This window comes from Homo sapiens, chromosome 3 (assembly GCF_000001405.40).
Source record: "Homo sapiens chromosome 3, GRCh38.p14 Primary Assembly".
In the NCBI taxonomy this organism is placed as follows: Eukaryota; Metazoa; Chordata; class Mammalia; order Primates; family Hominidae; genus Homo; species Homo sapiens.
The window spans coordinates 53,701,702-53,727,033 of NC_000003.12; the positions used below are offsets into that span (position 1 = coordinate 53,701,702).

Sequence of the window (25,332 nt, forward strand, 5' to 3'; positions counted from 1 at the left end):
GAGATGCAGATGGTTCCTCATATATAAAAATTGGGTAATCGTCCACCTGACTCTCAGGCTTGCCTGAGTATGTGGGGTTTTGTATATATGCATAGTCAGAGGCTTGCACACATGGTGGAAAGTAGCATAAACACCCCACAATTGGGAACATTTACCTGTCTGCCAGATCTTTTCCAGGGCAGGTGTTCCTATAAATGGGCAGAAAATCATATGCCTCTTCCCCTCCTGCAGGGAAGACTTTTGGGGAAGACCATGACAAGTAGCAGGGGTTAAGAAAAACAGTAATGCTTCATCAGTGCTCGAGTTCCCATCTGGGAAGGGAGAACTGGGTTGTGGAGGGGGTGGGGACTGCCCTGACTCCATGCACTGCTCTGGCCCGAACCTGCAGGTGATGGGTAGAGGAGCCTAGTGTGGGCACCAGCAAGGACTGCTGCCTGCTCAGAGCTCTTGGTTTGGACAAAAGGGGTAGCACACAATATTAATGCAAAGTTTGTCCAAAAGCATTGAAGAAGTTCTAAACTTGGTACTCTTTGACCACAGCTTGGCCCATTTGGGTCCCTCCTCTTTGAGGAGGCTCTGGGGAAAGTGGGGCGTCTCTGAGTTCAGGCCCCTTGTTGGGGGGTGTCAGAGGCCTGCCATGACAGCACATGGTGTTTTGGGCCTAGGCCCCTTGAGATCGCTGTCATCGAGGGGAGTTCATTTTCTAAGAAATGATGCATGTGTGTTGGTGTGGGCTCTGCGACTCTGACCCCCATAGTCTTGCTTTGGAAGACACTGTCTTCTGTCCTGTCCAAGTGTGTGGCTCCATTGCTGTGCTCATGTGACTATACTCAGTGCTGTGTGTCCTGCCCACAAGACTGTTGTGCAGTAGGGCAGTGGCTCAGGATGCAGGTCCCCAAGGATGTCCTGATATGTGCTTGTCCTCTTTGCCTCCTTCAGAGAATTCTCAAAGGAAAGAGAGAAGGCAAAAGCACGGGGAGATTTCCAGAAGCTCCGGGAGAAGCAGCAGCTGGAGGAGGATCTAAAGGGCTACTTGGATTGGATCACCCAAGCTGAGGACATCGATCCGGAGAATGAGGAAGAAGGAGGAGAGGAAGGCAAACGAAATAGTATGTAGCGCCTTTCCTGCCCCTGGCTAGACAGACCCAGTGTGCGGTTCAGACGCCTAGCAGTAGGCCTTCCTCGACTCTGACCCAGGCTGTGAGTGGGACAGCCTCCTCCCAGCCATCTGGTCCCTTCTGCCTGCACACATCACGGAGAGAACAGGTGCATTGGTGCTGACTCTGGATTTCTGCCTGAGGTTTGGGGTTTAGAGTTGTATTTGGTAAGGTGGCTTTATAGCCAAGGAAGGTCAAACGGACCCACTGTTGGCCTGGGAAATTCAGTAAGCGCATTTCTGTGCGGGCACAGGGGTGATGAGACACATATTCTTGTACCACAGGAGAAGAAGCTGTGGTTTCCCTCACCTCAGAGTGAACAGTGTTATTGGACAAGAATTTGAAGTGCAGGGTTCCTCTTGACTCTTACTCTTAGGCCACCTGACATGGCTCCTACATGTGCTATTCATATGAAGCCATATGCTTAGCCCATCAGGGGCTGGGAGGAAACCGGCTCACCATTCTAGGCAGGTGTTAAGGGGCACGTGAGTCAGTGACAGCTGCTTTGCTGTCACCCATCGACACCCCACACTGTGACACTAAGCACCCTAGAGCACCTTCTGCAGGAGGCAAGGCCTGAGAACTCAGTCCATCACTGACATTAATTGCCATTGTCAACCACGGTGTCTCTTTCACTGCATACTTTTCCCACAGATGCGCTCTTATTCTCTCTGGGGCCCTTTGTGCCTCGGGTCAGAGTGGAAACTGGAATCCAGCAATGCATTTGACTGAGATGTCTGTGACTTGCTTCAAATCTAGAAGAGTTGGATAGGAAGGACCAAGAACGTACTTCAAGTGCACATGTCCATTGAGAGGCCTGGGGACCCGAGGCCGGCCCTACGTTGTAGAAGATGGCCGAGCAAGTCCCTGCTTGAGCAGAGCGCCTTGGATGTTTTGCTCTCAGCAAGGCCTGTTGCTGGGTACAGGGGAAACCCAGAGCTGGAGAGGATGTGGAGTGCTGCCTCCTAGGGAGAGACAGGCCTGTCACACTAAATGCAGCCCTGGGGAGCAGAGCTGCAGGGCACACATAGAGGGCAGGCACCGCCGACGAGGGATCGAGGACAGGGCTGGAGGGAGCATTTGGCCTGGGCCCTGAAGGATGGATGGATTGCAGGTGTGACCATTCAGTGTCAGAAGAAGCACCCTGACCCAGGGGACTAGCGTGAGGGAGGCGTGGAGGTGGACAAAGGCCAGGTTTCAGGGAGGAAGCAGTGGGCCCTTCAGCTGGAGCACAGAGGGTATGAAGGTCGGGGTGAGCTGCCATAGGAAGGGTGGGTGAGGTGCAATTGTGCCTCTTCTGGAGGTTGTGGAGTGTGTAAGTGGGGGCTGAGAGACCCCTGGTGGAGAGGCTTCTTGACTGAGAGGGCCCTTACCTTTCTTCAAGCCTGGGCTCTGTGCCTCCATGGGGAGGGAGTGTGTTCCGTGATCTCAGATGCCCTGGCTGGTGCAAACCAGTGTGCTGACTGGGAGTGGGCAGGGTCAGGCCTCTCTTCTCTCCCTCCCTGCTTCTTGCCAGGCTCAGGAAGGGGCCAGGACTTTAGCACCTGAGGATCAGAAGACTGAGGGAGGGTTTCTAGAGCTAACTGTTTGCTGAATGCAAGTTCAGAGTTTATAAATAGACATTCATGTGAGTCTCAGACTCAGCGATGTGCCTATGAAGTGATCAGATGTAAGAGTGTCTGCCTGTCCTCTGCACAGCTCTCCCCTTGGCAGTTGAGCCAACGTGAACCCCATGGCTTTCGTGGAGCTTCTGCACCTGCAGTATGGCAACAGGCCATGTAGGTGCAGCTTGGAGATGCCTGCACCGCTCTTTTCCCCTTCACTTGCAAACTGTAACTCAGATGCTGACCTGCCCCATCTCCCCTAAACCCAACATGTTATTTGTAAACGAGAGGAGGTATGGCCCCTTTTTCTCAGCAGAGTGTCTTTCTTTGCTAGTTTAGCTGTGTCCCCCAGGGAGCTGAGTGAGGCCTTCTTACAGGCCAGTGGCCTTTCCTCTGTTTATTTCTCCTCCTCTAGAAGTAGACAAGGTTTCGTGTTCTAGTGTTGCTAACATTAGTCGTGGTAGAGTTGTTTATAGGGCCTATGATTTGAGGATTAAGGGTTTTCATTGGATTTAAGGTGATATCTTGAGGGTTAACCATTTTATCTCAGCCCAGCATTTCCTATGACCTATCACTGTAAAAACCTGATGATGACAGAAATCAATGACTCTGCCTTTCAGAGAACTTGCCATGAGGGGAAGATGGAGAAGGAGTGGCTTAGTGTGAGAAGCTGATCCCATTGTTAAGGCCCAGCACTCTGCTGTGTGAGCCCAGGAGGGCGCGATGATTCTGGCTGGTGGGAGTGGGCAGGCTGGGGCGATGTGAGGAAGGCTCCGTGGGAGGAGCAGCCCTGGGCGGCAGAGGTTGGGGGTGGGGGCTTTTTCAAGCTGGGGAAATGGCACAAACAAGGTGTGCGAAGTGACAAATATTCAGGGCCCTTAAGTGCATTGCTCAGTAATATAATCTAGGAAAGAAACAAAACCTGTTTAAAAGCCTTGTAGATCTTCAGAATTCACTCTCACTGGGGCTCCCAAGCCCATAAAGCTGCAATGTGTCTTGGGAACATCAGCAGTATTGTTTCTGCTATGCACCGTGATGTGTGACTCAAAATGATTAACTAGCTTAACGTTTGATCCAGAATAGCAAATATTTCTGTGGTGCGCCCTTGTTCTTTATGGAGCTCGTTTTGCCAGGTGCTGGGGTTTCCTGTGGAGTGAGGCTCACAGTGCTTCCCGAGTCATCAGATTTCCAGAGCCTTGCTGATGAGGGTTTTAAATAAAGACAGAAATCTTGGCTGTGGAGGCCATGATGGGATTTAGCTGACTTGAGAGCACCAAGTCTCCTCCTCCTCTGAGGAGAGAACCTCTCTGATCACAGACCTCAGCAGCCCAGACCCTCTGGAGGAGACAGCACTGTTGAGGTTTCCCTGGGGCCTCCTGTGGCTGCCAGCCATTTTCTTCCTGTCACAGCCAGAAAACCACACAAGGAGAGGGTTTCAGTGAGGCCCACATGGTCCTCCTCACCAAATAAACAGTCCTGGATTCACCACATGCACATGCCAGGTCTGGGGCTGTCTCTGTGCATCTGATTAGCAGGCAGTAGAAATGTGGGTGTTGCCAGTGTTACGGTGTCTGCATCCTCCCTGGGGGTGTGAGATCACCCCACGTGCCTTCCACTCCAACCCTGCTCCTCTGTTACCTCTTGAGAGGAGGATGGCGCAGGGCCCGGGCTCCTGACTTTGTCCATAATGGCTAAGGATGCTAATTCAACTGAGAGCCCTTTTCAGCTGGGTCCTGGATGTGAGTTGAGCAGTTTCCTCCCAGACCTTGAGGATTGAAGTGACAGTGTGAGAAGAAATGCTTCCTGATAGCCGAGCCTCAGCCTAGATGAGCAGAAGTGGGTGTAGGAAGTCATTAATAACAGCAGATGTCTGTGAGCTCACAGGAGGCAAAGGCTTGGGCTGGAGGGCATCTTGATGCCCCTTCTCCGGATGTGGCTGCAATGGAGTTTTGTGACTTGGAATTTGGACTTTAGTATTAGGCAAATTACTCAACCTCTCTGGACCCCACTTTCCTTGTCTGCAAGAAGGGGATAAAGATATATCTCCCCATGGGGCTGTTGTGACAATTGAACGTTCTGTGACTGCTAGGAGTAGTCATAGTTGTAGTATGTGCTGCTGCTGTTTTCATCAGACACCAGTAAAAGTTGACCTCAACAGAATTTTAGGGGTATAAATTTAGGGGGTACAAATACCGTTCTGTGACATGGACATATTACATAGCGGTGAAGTCTGGGCTTTTAGTGTAACCATCACCCGAAAAGTGTACATTATACCCAGTAAGTAATTTCTCATCCCTCATGCCTCTTCCACCCTCCCACCCTTCTGTGTCTCCAATGCCTATTATTCCATCCACACCCTATGTCCATGTGTACACATTATTTAGCTTCTGCTTATCAGTGAGAATATGCAGTATTTGACTTTCCTAAACATAATATTTTTGAAGGTTCTCCTAGACCGCTAACCAGCCTCAGGGTGGGGCCTCCCTCTTAGGACCATTGCCCTGTGCTTTTCTGTTCAGAAACTATAAAGTTCTGAAGTATTGATGGAAAACAAATCTGTTAACTAGGTCACTTTCGAGATAGGGCAGCACAGCTTTCAGGCTCTTGAAGTCCATTTCTAGTTTGGCGGTGCTTGCTGTCAGGGAACAGATGTCAAATCAAGTACTTGGAGATGCGCTCACATTATCTTTTCTCTCTGATCTGCTAAATGTCACTGCATGCGTCTGCGATGCCCAACACTGGCTGTACGTTATAATCACCTGGGGAGCTTGGATGCTTCTTGATGCCATACTCCACCCTCTAAGACTCTTGATTAATCTTGGGGTGGGAGCCAGGGGTGGCTCTTTTTCATTAAGGTTCCCTGGGGATTCTAATGTGAAGCTAGGGTTCAGAACTCCTGAGTCCAGGATGCTATCAGTGGCTGAATATCACACTGTTCCAGGCATTCACTTGAAAGAAGAGGAGAGGCAATCAGGCCTCTAACTGAGCTGTCTGGTGACTGGTGACAGGTAGCTCCAGCTTTGTGCATTCATAGAATATTTAAAATGTCAATTTCATAAATTTGCTATTAGAAAGCTGGTGTTACACAATTAACTGAATGGACAAAATTCCCTTTGAAGTGAGTTCCTGAGCATTTGGTAAATTTTCAAGGATAATTTATTTAACTTTTTGCTGAGCTTCAAGTTTCTTAAGAAACCCTGCCAAATCTCAAAGTGATTTTTTTAGACATATGCAGCTGCTTCTGAGTTAACAATGGAGTTTTGCTAGGACCATTAAAATCTGGAAGCCTAAAATTCTATTTTAAACTCTTCTCATTGTCAGTGATTAGTCTTAAAAAAAAAAAGCATTAAAAATGAAATCATTTTAAAGGGAGCTCATTCTAAAATTCTGGCCAGAAAAGCAGGGCAATTTTATTGTAGGAACTATTAATGATTAATAATTCCTCTAAGTAAAGATATTTGATGCCCAAAGAAAGGGAGGGGCATACCTGAAACTTCATCTCTGACCACAAGGGCAGCCTCTCTGTCTTCTGCTTCTTCAGTGGTCCTGGAGGCTATGGGCACTGCCCCTGCCTGCCCGGGGACTCTGCCACCCTGGGGCTTGGTGGAGCAGGTTGCCCTAGCTGCCTCTCTTTTGCATGTGCTACCTAGTTGCCTCTTACTGCAATGTTTGCTTTGGGGGTGGACAGAAAACCAGGACGTTATAGCTGGTTGCAAGCATAAGGCATAGCAATTTGCTGGTCCTGTTTTGAAAGACTGTGTTTTGAAATTTTGATTTACAAAACTGCTTTCATCACCATTGAACTACCTCAAGGCACAAGTTCAAAATGGAAGATACTCAAGTAAAAGCTGTAAAGCAAACAGCAGCAGTTAGAGTGGCATACGGTAAATATGCGTCCAGGTCAAGAGCCCTCACTGGAGAGGCAGCTGGAAGTGCTTTCACTGGGAAGTGGGAGGGCTGACTCAGGGGCTGGCCCTAGGGTCAGTGGCTGGACACTGTCTCCATTGGGGTGGCACTGGGAGTAGTTGTCTGGACAGGCAGACTCTCTCCACAGGGGTGATAGAAAGCAGTGGTAATTTCTAAAAGTGCCTGCATGTCTGCCATCACCTTCAGCCTCCTAAGAGCTGATGGGAGCTGGACTCAGGGACTGTTGCCCCACTGTGGAGACAAGGAGTGGGTACTCCAGCCAAGTTTGCAGTCTCAAATCAGGGTTGTTTTATTTGTTTTTAATACATTTTAATTATGGAAGTAATATTTGCCTACATAAAAAATTCATGTAATTTCAAAGTATATAAAGTAAGAAAAAAATTCTCTCTTCCTTCTCCTTAAAGAGAGGCAGACTTAGAAGTTTGGGGCCTCTACTTCCCCACCTCACTGCACATAATACATGACACAGACCGCATGCATATAGCTTCCACCCTAAGATGCCCAACACAGGTATTTTTCACTGAACCATGTACCACAGATATTTCCCATGTTTTTAAAGCAAAATGTTGGCTCTTTTCAATAAATTGCCATTATAAAAACTGCTACAATGGACTATGCACTCTACAGCACGTGGACCTCTACTTTATAGAGGTCTCTCCACCATGAGACCATCAGCTCCATGGGTGCAGCAGGAATAGGGTCTGTTTCTGCCCTCTGTTGTGTGGCTGCACCCAGCACAGTGCTTGTCCCATACATGAGCATGCCATTACTTCCTTCTTGAATGAAAGAACATAGAGTAATAATAACTAGCATTTGTCAGGTGCTTTCTGTGTGTGAGACACTGTTCCAAAGGCTGTGGGTGAATACATTCATTCTTCTTCACACAACTCTGTGAGACAGGAACTTGACAGATGGGGAAACTAAAGCACAAAGCAGTTCAGTAGCTTCCCAAGGCCATGTGACTTACGTGGCAAAGCTGGGATTTGAACCCAAGCTCTGCCACAGTCTGCAGGCTAACTATCATTAACCCCTGCAAACACATGCCCCTGTGTCTGCGTGCTCGTGTTCATGGTTTTGTGGGAGAGGATACAAGAAAAGGGTCTGCTGTGTCAGAAAGGATGCACATTTTAGGAACGTGAGTATTCTGCCTACCCATAGTGTGCAGGTGTCTGTGCTGCCCATGCCCTTGCTTACTCCAGCATTCCTGCTGCTGTCTCACACTGCTTCGCACAACCCTCCCCTAGAGCACAGGGTCCGTACTCTAAAGACTAGCTGGCTTAGAGTGATCATGGAATCATGGGGCTGCAAGGGGTTAAAGATCCTAGAGTCATTTCTCTCGTGACCTGGTGGTCATGGGAGAGTCGTAGTGATGACAGTAGTGGTGGTTGATTGTGCCTTGCCAAAGCTGGGCACATTGCTTTTATTACTGTCTCCACTGTTCACCTCTTACAACAACCTTACGCAGTACAGGTCCAATTATTATTGACATCTTACAGGTGTGGAGGAAACTAAGGCTTCACAGTATCAGGTAACCTGTCCACAGTCTTCTGACATGGAAGTGACAGGGCTGGGGTTAGACCTGGCCTGTCAGAGTCCAGAGCCCACCTTTTGAACTCCCACCTGTCCTGTCCCATATGGTAGTGCTGTTTGGAATCACATATCCAGTCTGTACAGGGCTCCTGACTCCCCCTAAAGTGCCTTTTCCTTAATACCCTACTTAGATGGGAAGCCAAACCCTGGAAACCTTTATCTAGCATGGGTTAGCTGGTTGTTGATTTAGAACAGGTTCTTAAAGACAGGTGTTTGTGTAATAGCTGTGGAAAGGGCACTTCCTCTCCGCTGTTCTGATGCTGAGCTGGATTCCTAGCAGGAGGGGTCTGGGGCAGGCGGGCGTCCATTGCGTGAGGCAACCTGGCTGGCAGGGCTGGCCGCGTGGGGCCCTGGTTTGGCTGCTGTTGCTGCCCTCTGCTGCTTCATAATGAAATTGCCTGTGTTCAACCTGAAGGGGTCACAGTGGCCGACTTGCTTAAAGAGGATAAGAAGAAAAAGAAGTTTTGCTGCTTTCGGCAACGCAGGGCTAAAGATCATGGTAAATTGCTGAGACTGAGCTTTCTTTTTCCGCAACATCTCTGATACCTTTTCCTTGCACATAGGCATTGTGTGAAGTGCATGTGCCGTGTGGTGTGTTCAGAAGATGCCTATATTTTAATTGCTTGATTTCTTTCTTCTTGTCTTTTTCCAAAATAATGTGCCCTTACCAAGATAGCATTGCAGTTTTCTTTTTGTTTGAACTGTACCTTATAAAGAAGCAGCTGAACCAACTCAAAAAATGTACTTGATTCGGCATGAATATTCTTAGACTGGAAGGCAGACTTTTAAAATACTTTTCCCCAAATGATTTTTTTAAATTTAAACCGTTTAGAAATTCCAATAATGTTATTTGATTGATTTTTTTTTCTCCAGGCTACATGTTTCAAATTGCTTCTCTGTCTTTTAGTCTCTGGCTACTTTGCCCAGGACTATGCCAAAGCTAGTAGTGGCAGCTTTAAGAATGAAATTAGCTGGATGCAGTGGCTCACACCTGTAATTCCAGCACTTTAGGAAGCCGAGGCAGGAGGATCACTTGAAGCCAGGAGTTTGAGACTAGCCTGGGCAACAAAGTGAGACCCTGTGTCTACCAAAAATTGTAAACAAAGAAGCAAACAAAAAAATCAGGTGTGGTGGTGCATGCCTATAGTCCCCAGCTACTTGGGAGGCTGAGGCAAGAGGATTGCATAAGCCCAGGAGTTCGAGGCTGCAGTCAGCGATATTGCGCCATTACACTCCAGCCTGGGTAACAGAGTGCGATCTCTGTCTCTTAAAAAATCAAAATAAATAAAAATAGACTTCAGGGATGCAAAGATTTGGGGGCACTTGCCTTTGAAAGTGAGAATGGGCTCGTGTGGGAAAGTTATATTTCCAGATATGTCCTAAAATGATGCTAAACATACCCTTCCTCAGAATCCCTGGAGTAGCTGTCAGGCCCATCCCCAGGCAGACAGTTAGGTGAGCAGCTGGCTCCCTGCCTTGCTCTGCCCAAGTCATGGCAGTGGTTCGACAGCAGCACAAAGCTTTGCCTATGCACACCAGCACAGTCGACCCAGTTCTGCCACCAGGATCGGCCCTGGTCACCTGACTCTGGGGAAAGTCTGTTTAAGGAGATTCAGACAGCAGGGACGTGAAGCCAACAACTAAGGGAACAGAGGGGACACACTGTACTCTTTTCTTTGAAGTGGCCTCTGGCCCCATGGGAATGCTGAGCTGAGAGGTTATGGGACGCAGATGGGAACAACCCGTGGATATCTGAAGAGGGTTATATTAGAGTCTAGGTCTCATCAGAAGGCCTAAAAGTGAAAAGGAATTAAGAGATTATCAGATATAAGCCCTTGTCATTCAGCACGTTGTGGACCCCAAAGGAGGGAGAAGAGGAGGTGGAACTTGCCTGAGGTGGGACAGTGAGTTAGGGGCAGAGTTGGGGCTGCCTTTTTTATCTGTAGCATTCACGGAAGGTTTATGAACAGGAGGCTGGGCTTGATGCAGCACCTGAAGGTGTCTGCAAGAAGAATGGCCTTCAGCTAAGCAGGAAATAGTGTCATGGACATAAGAAAAAACATCTTTAAAGACTGACATAGGAATATAGCTCTGGAGAGGTTACCAAAAGGAGATAAATGATTTCTGTCCCCAGAAAAGAAAACACCCCTCCTTGGTTCTGCCTTGCTGAATGCAGGCTTGGGCCTTGTGATTCTTTAAGGATTCTTGTGCCTTCTCCATTGTCTTTCTGAGATCTGCAGGGAGAGGAAGCAGGCTGACACATTTAAGGAACTTTATTTTGAGTGGGAATGGCTTTTTATTGACTGAAATACCTGGGGACTCAGGAAGGACTCCGACCCTGCTGGCACCAGGTGGGGCACGAGCCCTCATATGGATGCTGGGCTGCCCCTGTCCCTGAACACGCGGAGATAGTTATTGTCTGGGCATAATTCTTGCTTGAGACATGGAAACCTTGGTCTGGCCTTGACCTCCATTCTCCAAGAAGAGCCTGGCTTCTTTACAGCAGCAAGAGGCTGTTACTCTGTGGTGGCCTAATGTGTCTCTACTAGCATGTGCATGTGCCTTTAGGGGGTGTGTGGGCTTCTTCTGGATTTGGCAGGCCTGTACGTCATGGTACTGCTCATGTTTGTCATGAAAATAAGATGAAAACATGAGGTCTAGGTGTCAGGTACCCTGTCCCCTAGGAAGGCAGCCACAACTCAGCCACTGCTCAGTTGTCCAGCCTCACCCCCTACCCTTACCTTTGAAAAGAATGAGAAGCTTTAGGCTGCTTGGAGGTGGAAGGAAATGCTAAAATAAATTCCTGAGTGTGCAAAAAAGTCTGTCCTGTGGAGAACAGAGGAGTGAGGCTCTGAGGCCAAAGACATCTGTGAATGAGGCTACTAATGGGACAGGTTCTAGACGAGGCTGGAGGGCTCTGGGCTCAGTTTGATGTGTGGCAAGCCTTCCCTTCGGGGTGCCTTGACTGGAGGACTGAGGCTCTCCTGTGACGCCCTGAGGCCTCTGGGGAGCTACTGCTTCCTGTGCTGCACCCCATTCTCTGGGACATTCTACATGCAGAGCACTTGGACTCAGTTCTCCAGTGCAGGCTGCTGGCTGGACCCCTGGCTTCCCTCCTGAGGGTGGTGGGCAGGGGCTCACTTCTTGTGCCCTCCCCTCCTTGCAGAGCTGGGGGAATGCAAGGGAAACCCCCTGGTTGTTGGTAGTAAAACCAGCCAGCATGTGGGCGTTTCTGCCTTCCTGCAGTTATAGCAGGTCAGAGGTAAATGGATCTTAGAGATGATACTGTCCTACAACTCATCTTACAGATCTGGTAGCCAAGCATAGGGGAAAAGAGGCACTTGTCCCATTGTCACCTGATGATAAGCACCAGGCTTTCCTGACATTTCTTCCATCATTTTTGACCTCATCAGCCTCCATCACTGAAGGTTGATCTGAGATTTTGCTATACCTGTTAATGGTGAACATAATTTTGAGGCTGCCTGCTTAGGACCCACACATAGACTCATTTGCTCTGTGTGTATGTGTGTGTGTGTGTGTGTGTGTGTGTGTGTGTGTGTGTGTGAGAGATTTGCCTCCAAATTCACAAGCCTGACACATTTGGCTGAGACGAATGTCGTCCTTCAGCATGAGAGTAGATGGATAAATGTCTACACCTTGGTGAAAATGCTAGTTGTGCTTACCTGAGAAGCAGCAGATTTCCCTGGTTTACTGTGTGTGGCATTGCCCATGATAACATCTGGCCCAGTGCAAGATCTTAAAGAGAAGCACCATGACCCACATCCACAGAGTGCTCCAAGTAGGGGCCTGGCCCGGCTGCCCATGCTGCAAAGGCCTTGGAAACTCTAATTACAGTCTGGGACATGCAGGGCTGCTGTCTGCCACCATCCTCTCACCCCCAGTGGCACCCAGGCCCCCCGCCACCAATCTCAGTGCACCACACTGTAAGCCTAAGGGTCTGCCCTGGAGCTCTTCCCAGAGATCCCAATGCCTGGAATAGATTGCAAAATATAGGCCTTGAGCTTCTCCAGATTTTCAGCAGGCAAATTGCAGTGCCAGCATCCTCTCACAGGTCACAGGCTTTCCTAATGCTTGGTTTTTCCCAGACTCACTGAAAGTAGTTTTTAAATTTATATAAAAAATAAACTTCTCTAACAAAGCTCTAACATTCCAGTTTCCTGAAATGTGTCAGGGAAGAGGCTTCACAGCTTGTTCATGTGCAGATGGCCCCTGGTGCTTATTTCTACAGTAGGGGACTGGCACTTGTCGGCAATGTGGGGAGGTCTGAGGGGTCTGCCTGCACCTCTAATAAGGCCTAGCCACTTGTCAGCAATTAACACTGAATCCCTGCTGAAGGGGACAAGGCCATCACCTAAATGGGGCAGTCACAATGCTATGGAAGCCAGTTAGGAGAAGCCCATGTATTCGGGTAATTTGCCCATGGCTTTACCTTCATGAGTTTGTATGACTCTTTCTGTCTGGATTTTTATAAAAGCCCAGTCGTCACCATTGCAGCCTGATTTTTGTGCTGTCGTCGGTCACTGAGCTGATATCCTGTAAGTGATCTGGTTATATGCCAGATTTTGAGTGGTTAATAAAGGTCATCAGAATAGTAAACCAGCACTGGTAGATAATAGACTCGTTTGGCTTTTTGGAACTTGTTGATTTGTGGAATTTTAAGTACATAACACCAAAATGTATACCAGTGAAACCACAGTACATACTTGAAAAGAATGGTGAGTGGAAGTTAGGAGAGATTTCTCAGTGTCAGCTGTGTGTCCCAAGGCATTTTGGCGAGTTCTGTCCTCTGAGAAATCAAGAGTTTGCTCACGTATTCTCAGAAGCCCCTTCTGGTTCTAACAGTCTATGATTCTTTTCTTTATTTTTTAAAAACATAGATGAGATCCTATTGGGGCTAAAGGAAGGGAAAGTCATATTAATTTTTTAACATTAAAAAAATGAATGCCTAATGCAAGTGAAGGGTAAAATGCTTTATTTTTAATAAATGAGGTCTTTGTTATACCCACTGAGCCTGATCTTTTCAAATATTTTTGGAAAAGGATAAGTGTGATATTTCTTCTGGAAATATTTTGGAAAAGGATCCTGTGATAGGGAGTAAGTGGCTGGAGAAGGTAGGCTGCCAGGGCCCTGGTCAGAGTGCGTTTCCTCTGCCCAGATTTAGGGGCTGGATCAAGGGCTGTTTCCAGGACCAAATGAGGTCTCCAATTTCTAGCGTAGGCACTGTCCTCTTTCTTTCCGTCTGCCTCTGCTCATCCTCAGCCCTGGCAACATCTTTTTGGGATATATTTATTTATTATGTGCCTGTGGCTCTTTAGGTGTCAAACAACTATGACAGGAGAAGTTGCTATGCCTACAGTAGGCAAAGTTAGACAATAACTCAGCTAAAGACAGAGAAAATACAAACCAAGAATGATGGCCAAAGCTGATTCAGAGGTATGGAAGATGGCTCACACTAGATGCGTCTGTGCAATGATGAAAGTGGCCAGGGCAAAATGACACTGGATTGGTCGCTTTGCTTCCAGGGAGCTCCAGGAGAGCTTTTCTGAGATGATGGAGTTAACATGTGTGGGCCTCACTGATCATCCAGCCCTGGGGACCCAGCACTCCGCATGCCTCATCTCATTCTTACCCTTTTACAGGTGAGGCAATGGAGATGTACAGAAGTCAGGTCACAAACGCGGGGTTAAACTTAGATCTGGCCAACCTGTGCACCTGCTCTCAGCCACTATCCCAACCCAGCTGAAGGACAGAATCAGCTCAGAGAGCAGGAGGACCCTGCCTCACCCTCAGTGGAGCCCTGGCACAGTGCTGTGAGACTATCTTCCCCTCTTTGTTGCTGTTTGGGGAGTTCGATTTTACTTCTTGTCTTTCCCCACAGTTAGTCTAGGGAGCAACTAGAACATTTCATACACTAATAGTTGGCAGGGGGCCAGAAATGCTAACTGATGACCCCATTCCCATAGAAAATATGTAATTTATCTGTTTCAATCAGATTGTTTTTAAAATGAAGCTTTAGAATTGAAATGCTGCAACTGTACCGATATCAGCATGAGACATGACTCCAGAGATTAAAAAGCCACAAAGACTTAGTCTTTTCAGAAGTTTGCTCTTTTGAAAATAATGACTAATGTTCCTACATGATCAATATTAGAACTATGAGATAGCAAACTGTTAAAGATGGAAATGACCCTCAAGATTGTGGAGTTCACACCACCATTTTAGAGACAGGAAAGTGAAGCCTGGAGAGAGGTGATCCATTGCCCAGGAGACTCAGAAAACAGGACCAGGCCTGTGGGTTCCCCACATCATACTGCCCTCAACTCCTGGTCCCCTCAGTCACTGCAGTAACCACCACGGAAAATGCCGCACAGAGTTAACTCATGATCAGATGTGAAAAGGGTCTCCCACTGTGATTTTCTTTGTTGGATTTAACAACCTCCTCACCTTTCTGCTGAATCAGAGTGAGGAACAGTCGAGGAGAATTGCATGAGTAGCTTCTTGTGTGTCTGTGTGTGTTAATGGAGTTTTTTTTTTTAAGGTTTTTCCATGATTAGAGTCGTATTTTTTGTTTGTTTTTGTCCAGTTTTTTTTGTTTGTTTGTTTCTGCATGAAATAATGAAAAAGTAAATCAAGGTTTGTAATTGGTTTCTTCTCACTTAGGAAAGAAGAAAATTATTCTATGAGAGTACCAGCAATGTAACATGAGTCTATAATTTTACTCACTTGGTCTTAACTTTTGACACCCTTGCCTCAGTGTTCCTGGGCATGGCGTGGAGGCTCCCATGCAGGCAGGCTCAGTTTCTCGGGCACTCACAAGCGGAACGGATCAGGGATCTTCTTTGGTATCCTCAAGAAACTTCTCAGACCACTGGGTTCCTTGAGCCAGGTTCCACCTCTATCCCTGCTGTTACCTTTATGAAGTCTGCTATGAGCAAGGCGGGCCGAACACAGCCCCCTACGCGAGCTGCCTGATCCAGCTCCTTTCCCCCTGAGCCTGGGCTGGGCCTCAGAATCTTCGCCATAGCGCTTCCAGCCCACTACCAGTATTTGCAGATGAAACTTGAGGCATCCTTGCTAAGGGGAGCCACACGGGCAGAGCCCATGGGCCAAGCTTTCCTGAAGACATCGTAAGGTCTGTAAAAACAGTCACTACAGTTCAAAGCCATGCCTCAGGAAAAAGGAAGTACACGTGGATTCTCTTCCGTGACTTCCTCTTTTACCTCTGCACCCCGGCAGAATTAATCCTTCTTTACTCTGGAACCTCCTGCACAGACCCCTGAGGTAGCTCTCTTCACAGCTGATGGAAGTGAGCTGGGGGCTGCCTGTCCCTCACCCCTATTCCAGGTGGGTGCAGTGCTGTGTGCCCTCTTTTTGCCCCTGCCCTCCTCCACTGCCTGGGCTCCAGCACGTGTTCGTGATGTTTATGGGGTTGAATCAAGTGGATGAGAAAAGACGCTCGTGCACCAGATGGTGGCCCTGGGTGGACCCTGGACCTCCACACACTAGTGGGCGTGTTTCCACATTTCCTCTACTTCCGCTCAGGATCCTACCATGGAGAAGTGGGATGGGCCCAGAGACCCTAGTCATACTGAGACCAGAGTCAACCTTGCCCTCTGCTCACTGGTTGATAATGATCTTCTTCTTCCACTCGTAACACTATAATTCCTTGGTGCTCTAGTTGTTCTTACCCAGCTTACTGGGTAAGAACTTTCTGTGTATTGGCTTCACAAGCTCAGCAGAACTTCAGCATCAGGTAAAATAGCAAAAAAATAGAGTTCTTAACTCTAAAAAATGTTGTGCATGGTACCTTCATGCACTGCCTTCCCCATTCACAATAGCTCTTCTCCCTCAGTATATTTAAGATGATTGACTCATGAAATGTTAGGGTTATTCACAGATGTTCTATATGCACCTTTTGGGGCAAGCAAAGATGTACCTGTAAAGTACATTTTGGTGGCTTCTCAGTGTGATCCCAGAGATGAGGAGGATAAAGTGGTGCTATACCCAGCCACAGGATTCACTTTGATCCCTTAGCTTCCTTTCTTGGAAATGTCTAGGGGGATAGAATGTCCTCCTCGAGGGGGACTGTGTTTCCTACAGGCCATGGGTGCAGAGACTCGCCTGCAGTGGAGATGCCTGGCTCCTTGGCACTCCCTTAGCCCAGCTGAGGCCCTGAGGGCCCTTTTCACCCTCCTCCTGGGTTCCGGAGGTCTGCCTGGTGGCAGAGGCTCCCACCTGGCCTGCCTCCCAGGCGTGCAGTGTGCCCCGCATGCTCTCTGAAGCCCGTCTTCTCCCCACAGCTAGCATGCCCACCAGCGAGACTGAGTCTGTGAACACAGAGAACGTCAGCGGTGAAGGCGAGAACCGAGGCTGCTGTGGAAGTCTCTGGTGAGTGTGGGGAGCACTTGCCCTCTTTCCCCTCCTGTTGTCTCAGAGAAGCAGGTGGTGAGGAAGACCGCCCAGGCTGCAGCAGAGCCCCGGGCCATCGCCTTGGGTGTGGCGGGTGGGAAGGCTCCTCGTACCCCACGCCACGCTTCCTCCTGTGCCAGGGCTATCCCTCCTGCACACCTCCCCACCCCCCGCCCCCCCGCCCCCCGGCCCAGCATTTCACATGCCTCTTCCTGTAAGTAGAGCCCGTGAAGAATGTGGTGGTTAACCTGGCCACCTGCTGTGTCCATTAGGTGCTGGTGGAGACGGAGAGGCGCGGCCAAGGCGGGGCCCTCTGGGTGTCGGCGGTGGGGGTAAAGGCCTGATTCTCCTTCCAGCCTGGGTTTGGCATTTGTGCTTTTGAAGAAGAGCTTCTGTGGCAGAGTTGCTGACTAGAATGTGCTACGTATTTAAGTTTTCCTTTGCTCATGGGACCTTCCTAACCTCAGGCCTGGCGGTTGGATGACGAGGCCCTGCCTTCTTGGTGCCTGGCACTTTTTCCCTGGAGCCCTGCACCAGCCTCTCCTCATGATGGAAGGCACCATTGCATTAACACTCACTGGCTTTTTTCTAGATGATTTGGGCTGTGGCAGCTGGCGGGGGGGCTGGGGGGGACCAGCAGTGCAGAATGTGCTGGGCACTGTCTGCCGTGGGGGAGCCCTGTGCGGTTTGGTTTTGTTTGCTTCTTGCTGGTATCCTTCAGGTCTTATCTCTGTAAAGTGCAGGTGTCATTTTTAAGAGAACTCAATCTTACTCTTGGCAGAGTTTCATAAAAATGATGTGTTATGGGCAGAATATGCAACCATTTGTGAAGTGATTTTGCCTCCATTCTCTTGCTCTGCCCTCTCTGAGACATCATGAAGCAGACAGAGAATGGGTTTGTCATCCCCACTTTACAGATGAGAATGCTGAGGCCCAAGACCTGCTGCTTTCCCATACTCACCCAGTGGGAGAATGGCAGTGCTGGGACTCCTAGTGCAGTGCTCCCTCTGCGGTAGTAGCAGCAAATGCTGCTGTCGAGATGAGTGGCAGGAGAGACTCTGCTGCCTTCATTTTGGCCCCTGCATCACTGCCTGCTGCCAGGGCCTGCAGGGAATCTGGCCGAGTCTTCCCTGACCTGGGCCTCGAGGGTGCTCAGTCTGCTCCTCTGGCCCTGGCAGCATCCTAATTTCTGCTCTGGCCTTGCCCCTGCTGGCCTGCTGTGGTAACCAGGGGTGCTAAGTCCAGGCTGTATGCATGGCTTTTATGATATCTCAGCTGAAATGATGGGGAGTGTGTGCTCAAGCCCTCGGAACCAGAATCTTAACACTTTTTGTCTTTCTTTCAGTCAAGCCATCTCAAAATCCAAACTCAGGTCAGTATCTTCTTTCTGTTTCTTCGTCAGCCTGTGTGTTGCCTTTGTATGTTCTCACTTCTGAATTTTACGTAGTATTGCTCTGGACTTGAGTTTTCCTCTGTGGATTATAACATTGATACTGAATTGCAGTCAGTCAATTGAATCCTATGAGCCTGGCTTAGGGGGAGATCTTAGGTGCCAAAGATCTCCCTCAAAGTAAACCAATAAGACTCAGTAACGAGTTTTGCCTCCCCATTAATCCTCCTTATCCTCTGAGTCATTTTCCTAAGAGAGCTGCTGCTTGTCACTTTTCTGCTCGAAAGCTTTCCATAGAAAGGGAGTTCAAGAAGTCTTCCAAGGTACTAGCATTTCTTGATGTGCATGCGGGTTACGTGTTCAGTTGGTAAAACTCATTGAACCATATACCTATGATTAGTGTACTTTTTCATCTGAGTGTCATTTTTCAACAAAAACATTTTCCTACTATATATAAACACTAACTTAAAATAGGCAAAGACCTAAATATAAAATATAAAATCATGAACATTCCAGAAAGAAAACAGGAGAAAGTCTTTGTGATCTTGAGTTATGCAAAGGTTTCTTAAGATACAACACCCAGTATACTTTCTGTAACAGAAAACAAACAGATAAATTGGTCTTTGTCAAAATTAAACTTCTGTTCTTCAAAAGAAAAGAAAAAGGTTAGCTTCAGACTTGGAGAAAAATATTTGCAAAGCATATTTGATAAAGGACTGGTATCCCATATATATAAAGATTAATGCATAAAGGAGAGTGTCAATAATAGAAAAACCCAATAAAAAATGGGCAAAATTTTTAATAGGCATTTCACCAGAGAAGAGATGTGGATGGCAGATAAGCACATGAAATGACCATCAGTTGTTACAAAAATGCACATTAAAATCACAGTTAGATACCACTACACATCTATTAGAGTGAATCAGATTTAAATATCTGACAATGACAAGTTCTGACAAGGATGCTGATTGGTGGGAACTTTCATACAGTGTTGATGGACATGTCAAATGACACAGCCGTTAAAAAAATAGTTTGGTAGTTCCTCATAAAGTTTAAACATATATTTACCACGTTTATATTTGGCCCAGCCATCCCACTTCTAAGGTGTTTGTATAAGAGAAATGAAGATATATGCCTACATACAAAGTTGTAACATGAATGTTTGTACCAGTTTTATTCATGCTTACCCCAAGCTGGAAGTAACCCAAAGGTCCATCAAATGTGAATGGGTAGACACACTGTGGTTCACCAGTATGATGGAGTACTAGTTCATGTCTGCTGAGTTATGCATCCTAGGAGAAACCCAGCTGTGAGCGGGACAGTCTTTAGTGTCCTTAGTAGAGTTTTTCCACGCTGGCCAACATGTTAGAAGCTGCTCTTTCCATTGGAACCTGCACAGCAAGAGTAATAATAAAATACACCTTACTTGATCCAGGTTTTGGTAAAGAGTTGGCACAACTCTTTCTCTGCTCACTTCCTGGGTTACAGATTTTCTTTTTGCCTAGCAACACAGCTGAGTCAGCCAGGGCTGCAGCTTGGGTAGCCTGGAGATTCCTCTTGACTCAGGCCCCCAGAGGAAGTACCCCATTGTCGTTAGTGAGGCAGCACAGCCTGGAGAGGACTGACTTTACCAATTGGCTGACCTTTCCACGGGATCTGGGTCACTGAGCTGCAGCTCATGGCACACTTTACCAAAGCATCCCCTTGTGGCAGGGAAGGTTTTCTAGAAGGAGACAGGCTAAGGGAGAGAATATTTTCTCTAATCACAATCAGGAACTGAAGGTAGGTGGAGGACATGCTACTTGTCTGTTTGGCTGAGCTCATTTTATTTTTATGAAAACACGATTCAATATTGGCTCTTCTCCTAAAGGTATATTTTGAGCATCACTAGTTAGAAAGGGCACCTGATGACTCAGTATGAAGATTCATGTCCTACTCAGCTTTGACAACTCTGCCAGGCTCTGGAGGAACCTCAGAGATTTAAGAAAGGATTGAAAAGGTTCCCTTTAAAAAAAAAAAAACTAGCTTTGTAGCACTTTGCTGCCTGGTAAATTCTGTATGGTGATTGAGATGCTGCAAGAGATGTGTATAATAAGCGAAGTGGCTCTCTGCACTGATTGCATGAGCAGATCCACGTCCCATATGGTGGATATAGGAACTGCATATGTGTGCAAGTGTAGTTTTGCATCTGCACGTGAATCTATGAATATCTAGATTTTCTAACCCACTTAAGGGCTGCATATGACAGATTCTGGAGTTATCTATAAGCCATAAGGAAGGACTGATAGCATGATCAAGTCAAGATTATACTTTTAAAAGTCGCATTTTAAGACCAACATAATTTTTATGATGAAGTCTGTTAATTTCTGTGCCATTTGTGCTCATCTTTCTTTCCTGCACTCCCACCCCAATCTAGACCTCCAGAGTGAAAGCCAAATTATCTCTCAATCATATTTATTGGATACTCAGATGCTGTATCTGTCATCTACGTAGTAATGTTTGCTTGTCTTTTAGCCGACGCTGGCGTCGCTGGAACCGATTCAATCGCAGAAGATGTAGGGCCGCCGTGAAGTCTGTCACGTTTTACTGGCTGGTTATCGTCCTGGTGTTTCTGAACACCTTAACCATTTCCTCTGAGCACTACAATCAGCCAGATTGGTTGACACAGATTCAAGGTACAAGCAGAGGCCATTCCTTTTTTGTTCTGAACTAGAGATTTCTGTGGCTGTCCAACTGCCATTTGGTCTTATCTGATCGCTGCATGATGAAGTATCGCAACATTTCTAGTGAGGACAAACTTGGTAGAACCATCCAGACACAGCAACTACCAGAGCGAGGGTGCCATCTGTGCCGCGTGGTGAAGCACCTTGGAGCCACTTAATGCCAAGCATCTAATTGTCCTAACCCTGAGCCAACCTAGGACCAAGAATTCTTGAAGCTGGAAGGGACCTCGTAATCCCTGCTCCCTGCCCTCATCGGGGAAGCTTCATTTTCCCCTATAGTACTTCTGGCAAATGGTTTTGGTTCCCCTGCTTTGAATGCTCCAGCACTGGGGTGTGGGACACTCATCCCTAGAGACAGCCCATTCTGGGTTTGACAGTTTTGAGCCTTTGAAAAGTCCTTCCTTTCATCCAGTCAAACCCGTTTCCCTCTACCTCTCCAGCCTGCTTGGTGATATTTTCAGCTGTTAGAAATGACATTGATAGGTGACTGCTTCTGATATCGTCATGCCATAAATGAATTCAGACAGATCTTTTCTGTGTGATTGAATGAAAAAATATGTATAACCTGATGGTGTCAACGCAGAATCGTAGGCTTTTAGGGCTGGAAGGAGTCAGAGATTATGTGATGAGCTGCCCCTTCCCATTTTGTCATCAGTGACACTGAGACCTGGAGAAATCAAGTAACTTCTCCAGAGTCACACACATAGCTAGTAGCAGAAGCAGGACCAGAACCTGGTGGACAGACTGTCCACGCGAAGGCCACGTTTCTGTCCTGAGTGAGGTAGTGAAGAGAGAGACAAGGTATTGGCGTATTTCCTGTGGGGCCTGATAGGGAGGGAGGTGTGAGGGGCACGAGCAGTCTGAGTGTCTTGCAGGAGACCCTGAGGATGGGTGCCCCTTTGTCTTTCCAGATATTGCCAACAAAGTCCTCTTGGCTCTGTTCACCTGCGAGATGCTGGTAAAAATGTACAGCTTGGGCCTCCAAGCATATTTCGTCTCTCTTTTCAACCGGTTTGATTGCTTCGTGGTGTGTGGTGGAATCACTGAGACGATCTTGGTGGAACTGGAAATCATGTCTCCCCTGGGGATCTCTGTGTTTCGGTGTGTGCGCCTCTTAAGAATCTTCAAAGTGACCAGGTAAGGAAATGTGGGTCCCACTGCAAATGTTTTATGAACATGAGGCGGCAACCAGTCACATCCCCGGGCAGGTGATGTTCTGCTCTGTCCTGCATGGGTGTTCTGAGCTGACACCCTCATCTTGACTTATAGGCACTGGACTTCCCTGAGCAACTTAGTGGCATCCTTATTAAACTCCATGAAGTCCATCGCTTCGCTGTTGCTTCTGCTTTTTCTCTTCATTATCATCTTTTCCTTGCTTGGGATGCAGCTGTTTGGCGGCAAGTTTAATTTTGATGAAACGCAAACCAAGCGGAGCACCTTTGACAATTTCCCTCAAGCACTTCTCACAGTGTTCCAGGTGAGTCCTCCCTCCATTCCCCGAAAAGCACTTCGTGAGCAGCAGCTAAAACTCCTCTGCCTTCTTGTCTGCTCACACTCAGGAAGACAAAAGGACTCCATTTTTGTTCATCTCTGCCCTAATCATAGCCTGGTAAATTTTGTGCCATTTAAGTTATTCGTTCTGCATCATCCTCCAGCTGTCTATCTTAAGTGATGTAATTTTTTTAAAGACTTCTAGCTACATTACAAAATAATAAACCAAAAAAACCGTTTTTCACACTCAAGCTCTTCCAAGAAAACTTTTTGATTGATTTTATGAGGTTTCTTTGAAATAGACTCTAAAATTCTTTTCTCTTTGGTACTTTTTGATGGCAGGCCAGTTCATAATCCTAGTTATAATAGATTTACACAAGAAGTGAATTCTCATGCCTCCATGCTTTGGTGTGTAGTTGGAGGAATCAGAGTGGTAGGAACTGTGGCAGCCATTGGTCCCTTCTGTCCTCCTCCTGGGATGCAGTGAGGACACAAAGATTCTGAGGGTGCCTGTCCTGTGGGGCCTCTGCAGGCAGTAGCTGAGAAGGGAGCGGTGGTTGCAGAGAGGCACCGATGGCTCTGCTGCTCAGAGCAGCAGCACATGCTCCCCTGACTCTACGCTGAGGTGCTCAAAACCCTCCTCCTTGGACAGGGTCTGATGGGGAAGTTTAAAAGACCCACCTGTCCTCATTGCTTTTCCTGTGTGATGTGAGCTGCAGAGCCCTGCCAGAGAGGAAAGGCAGCAGACAGCTGGGTCCTGTGGTGGCCCTTTCCATGCCCAGCTCTCTGCTGTGGATGAGTCACTTACCCATTTCTGAAGAAATCCAGAGACCAAAGGGAATGATCTGGACAATTCTCTCCCACTTGGTCATTTTCAGGTATATATAATCTGCTGTAAGCCATAGTATTGTTGTTTGAATTATACTTAAATTTTGGCTGCTGATCAGTGATTCTTTTTTAAAAAAAAATTTCTTTCAGAGAAACTGGTGTCTTTTTTTTTTTTTGGTAATGCATGCATATGGCACAAAATTCTAATGTTACAAATGAATAATAATTCTCCCAGCCAGCCACAAATTTCCTCTTCTAGGAAGCAACCACCATTAAACAGTTTCTTGTGAATTCTTAGATCTGCATTTTCTGATAGCTACAACTCAGTTAAGCTACCTATAGGAGACTTTCCACAGACAGGAGCTCACTGTACGTGCTGTTTTGCATCTTGCTTTTATCACTTTGAGTGTCCTCAAGAGCCTTCCTGCTTGGTCCATAAAAGGCTGCCCCTCCTTTGAAACGCTGCGTCCATGCGGTGGTAGATGTGCCGTTGTTCATATGACCAGTCCCTTGCTGACAAGCATTGAGTTCTGTCTGGTCTTAGCCCACATACACAGGGCTCCAGTAGGTGACCCTGAACACGCATCAGAGGGCACATGTGTTGGCTGTAGATCTGTGGGATAAACTCCCAGAGATGGAATTGCTGCTTTAGAGGGTGTGTCCATTTTAAATGTTGACACACGTGCCCAAGTGCTCTCCTTATGGTTGTATTAGCTCATTGTCTTCACACTGCCCATTGCCTCACTGCCTCTCCCCTCAGTGGAGAGCATGCTTTGGGATGCCCATCAGTTAGGTGAAAATGGCATTTCATTGTACTTTTAAAAGATACTGTTCTTATCAGGAGTGAGGTTGAACGTCTTTTCCTATGACTCAGAGCCATCAGTAGTGCCTTTTCTGTGAATTACTTTATCTTTTCAAATCATTTGCCCATTTTTGTTTGGTTGTGATCCATAACAGTTTAAATTTTAAAAATATCTAGTTCAGATTGAAGATAAAGGAGCTCTGTCTGTCGTCGGAAGATAGCATTTTTTTCATTACTGTTCTTATTCATCTGATTCTATTTCATCATGGATTGAATTATCAAGTATGATCAGTAGAGAAGATTAAATTTCAGGTCATTGGTGATATCTACTCTTGAGGTAGTTTTGTAAATTTACATGAGACATTTAGAATTTCCTGCTTTTGTAATTTCATAGGTATAATTATCCATTTCCACAGTTGATGGACTATGTGGAATGCTATGCAGCAGTTAAAAGAATGAGATGCACCTTCTGACACAGAGGGTCTCCAGAGTATGTTGTTGAATGAAAAAACAAGCCAGTTGCAGAAAACTTTGCATAGCATGATATCCTTTATGTCTGAAAACTCAGAGAAGACACCTAGTGCTTGTTTTCTTTGTGTGTAAACGTGTTTAAATCTGTAGTTGAAGGTTCCAGAGAGACACAGAAAGAGCATGCTTTCTGGGGAAGGGACTAAAACTGGGCTGGGGTGTAATCAAAAAGCACATAAATCTTGGCTGGGTGAGGTGGCTCATGCCTGTAATCCCAGCACTTTGGGAGGCTGAAGTGGGCGGAACACTTGAGGTCAGGAGTTCGAGACCAGCCTGGCCAACTGCTGTAACACTCTCTCTACTAAAAATATAAAAATTAGCCGAGTGTGGTGGTGGTCACCTGTAATCCCAGCTACTTGAAAGGCTGAGGCAGGAGAGTTGCTTGAACCGGGGAGGTGGAGGTTGCAGTGAGCTGAGATCAAGCCACTGCACTCCAGCCTGGCAATAGAGCGAGACTCCATCTCAAAAACAAACAAACACTTAAGTCTTAATAATAAGGTTATTTTTTTTCACTCAAAGAATTATCTATTTGTGTAATTAAAAAACAGTGTTTTAGAAATTCCATGGGATAACAGATGGATTTGTTCAGTGCAAACTGGACTGTGAAAGGCAGCTTAAACCAGATCTAGGCAGCCACCGAGGGGCTCTAAGAGAGCGGCTGCAATTTGTGAATCCACCTGCTGGCTGATACCAGTTTGGCTTCTCAGATCCTGACAGGCGAAGACTGGAATGCTGTGATGTACGATGGCATCATGGCTTACGGGGGCCCATCCTCTTCAGGAATGATCGTCTGCATCTACTTCATCATCCTCTTCATTTGTGGTAACTGTATCCTTCAAGCCGACCAGGCTTTGTTGTTGCC

General features: G+C 47.1%; 1 protein-coding gene across 22 annotated transcripts in view, besides 3 other annotated features; it reads left to right on the forward strand.

Moving 5' to 3' along the window:
- CACNA1D (calcium voltage-gated channel subunit alpha1 D) overlaps positions 1-25,332 on the forward strand; it is a 319,123-nt gene that overhangs the window by 207,091 nt on the left and 86,700 nt on the right. For 13 of the 22 annotated variants that reach the window (NM_000720.4, XM_011534094.3, XM_017007144.2 and 10 more), the window contains 8 exons: positions 940-1,109; positions 16,600-16,687; positions 16,981-17,040; positions 18,054-18,080; positions 20,613-20,773; positions 21,733-21,958; positions 22,091-22,298; positions 25,178-25,298. In NM_000720.4, coding sequence (NP_000711.1) covers positions 940-1,109; positions 16,600-16,687; positions 16,981-17,040; positions 18,054-18,080; positions 20,613-20,773; positions 21,733-21,958; positions 22,091-22,298; positions 25,178-25,298 — 1,061 coding nt within the window. The remainder of the gene's footprint in view (positions 1-939; positions 1,110-16,599; positions 16,688-16,980; positions 17,041-18,053; positions 18,081-20,612; positions 20,774-21,732; positions 21,959-22,090; positions 22,299-25,177; positions 25,299-25,332) is intronic. The other 9 variants (NM_001128840.3, NM_001128839.3, XM_005265448.4 and 6 more) reach the window with 1 other exon arrangement.
- Positions 14,414-15,613: an enhancer, noted in NCBI's record as "CDK7 strongly-dependent group 2 enhancer chr3:53750142-53751341 (GRCh37/hg19 assembly coordinates)". NCBI's record gives its function as "activates an origin of replication core promoter dependent on BRD2, BRD4, P300/CBP, MED14 and CDK7 cofactors, with strong dependence on CDK7, by STARR-seq in HCT116 cells {active_cell/tissue: HCT116}" and the evidence as "EXISTENCE:reporter gene assay evidence [ECO:0000049][PMID:35650434]".
- Positions 16,577-17,157: an enhancer, noted in NCBI's record as "H3K4me1 hESC enhancer chr3:53752305-53752885 (GRCh37/hg19 assembly coordinates)". NCBI's record gives its function as "activates a minimal SCP1, AML or CMV promoter by ChIP-STARR-seq in naive H9 embryonic stem cells {active_cell/tissue: H9 hESC(naive)}" and the evidence as "EXISTENCE:reporter gene assay evidence [ECO:0000049][PMID:30033119]".
- Positions 17,158-17,738: an enhancer, noted in NCBI's record as "H3K4me1 hESC enhancer chr3:53752886-53753466 (GRCh37/hg19 assembly coordinates)". NCBI's record gives its function as "activates a minimal SCP1, AML or CMV promoter by ChIP-STARR-seq in naive H9 embryonic stem cells {active_cell/tissue: H9 hESC(naive)}" and the evidence as "EXISTENCE:reporter gene assay evidence [ECO:0000049][PMID:30033119]".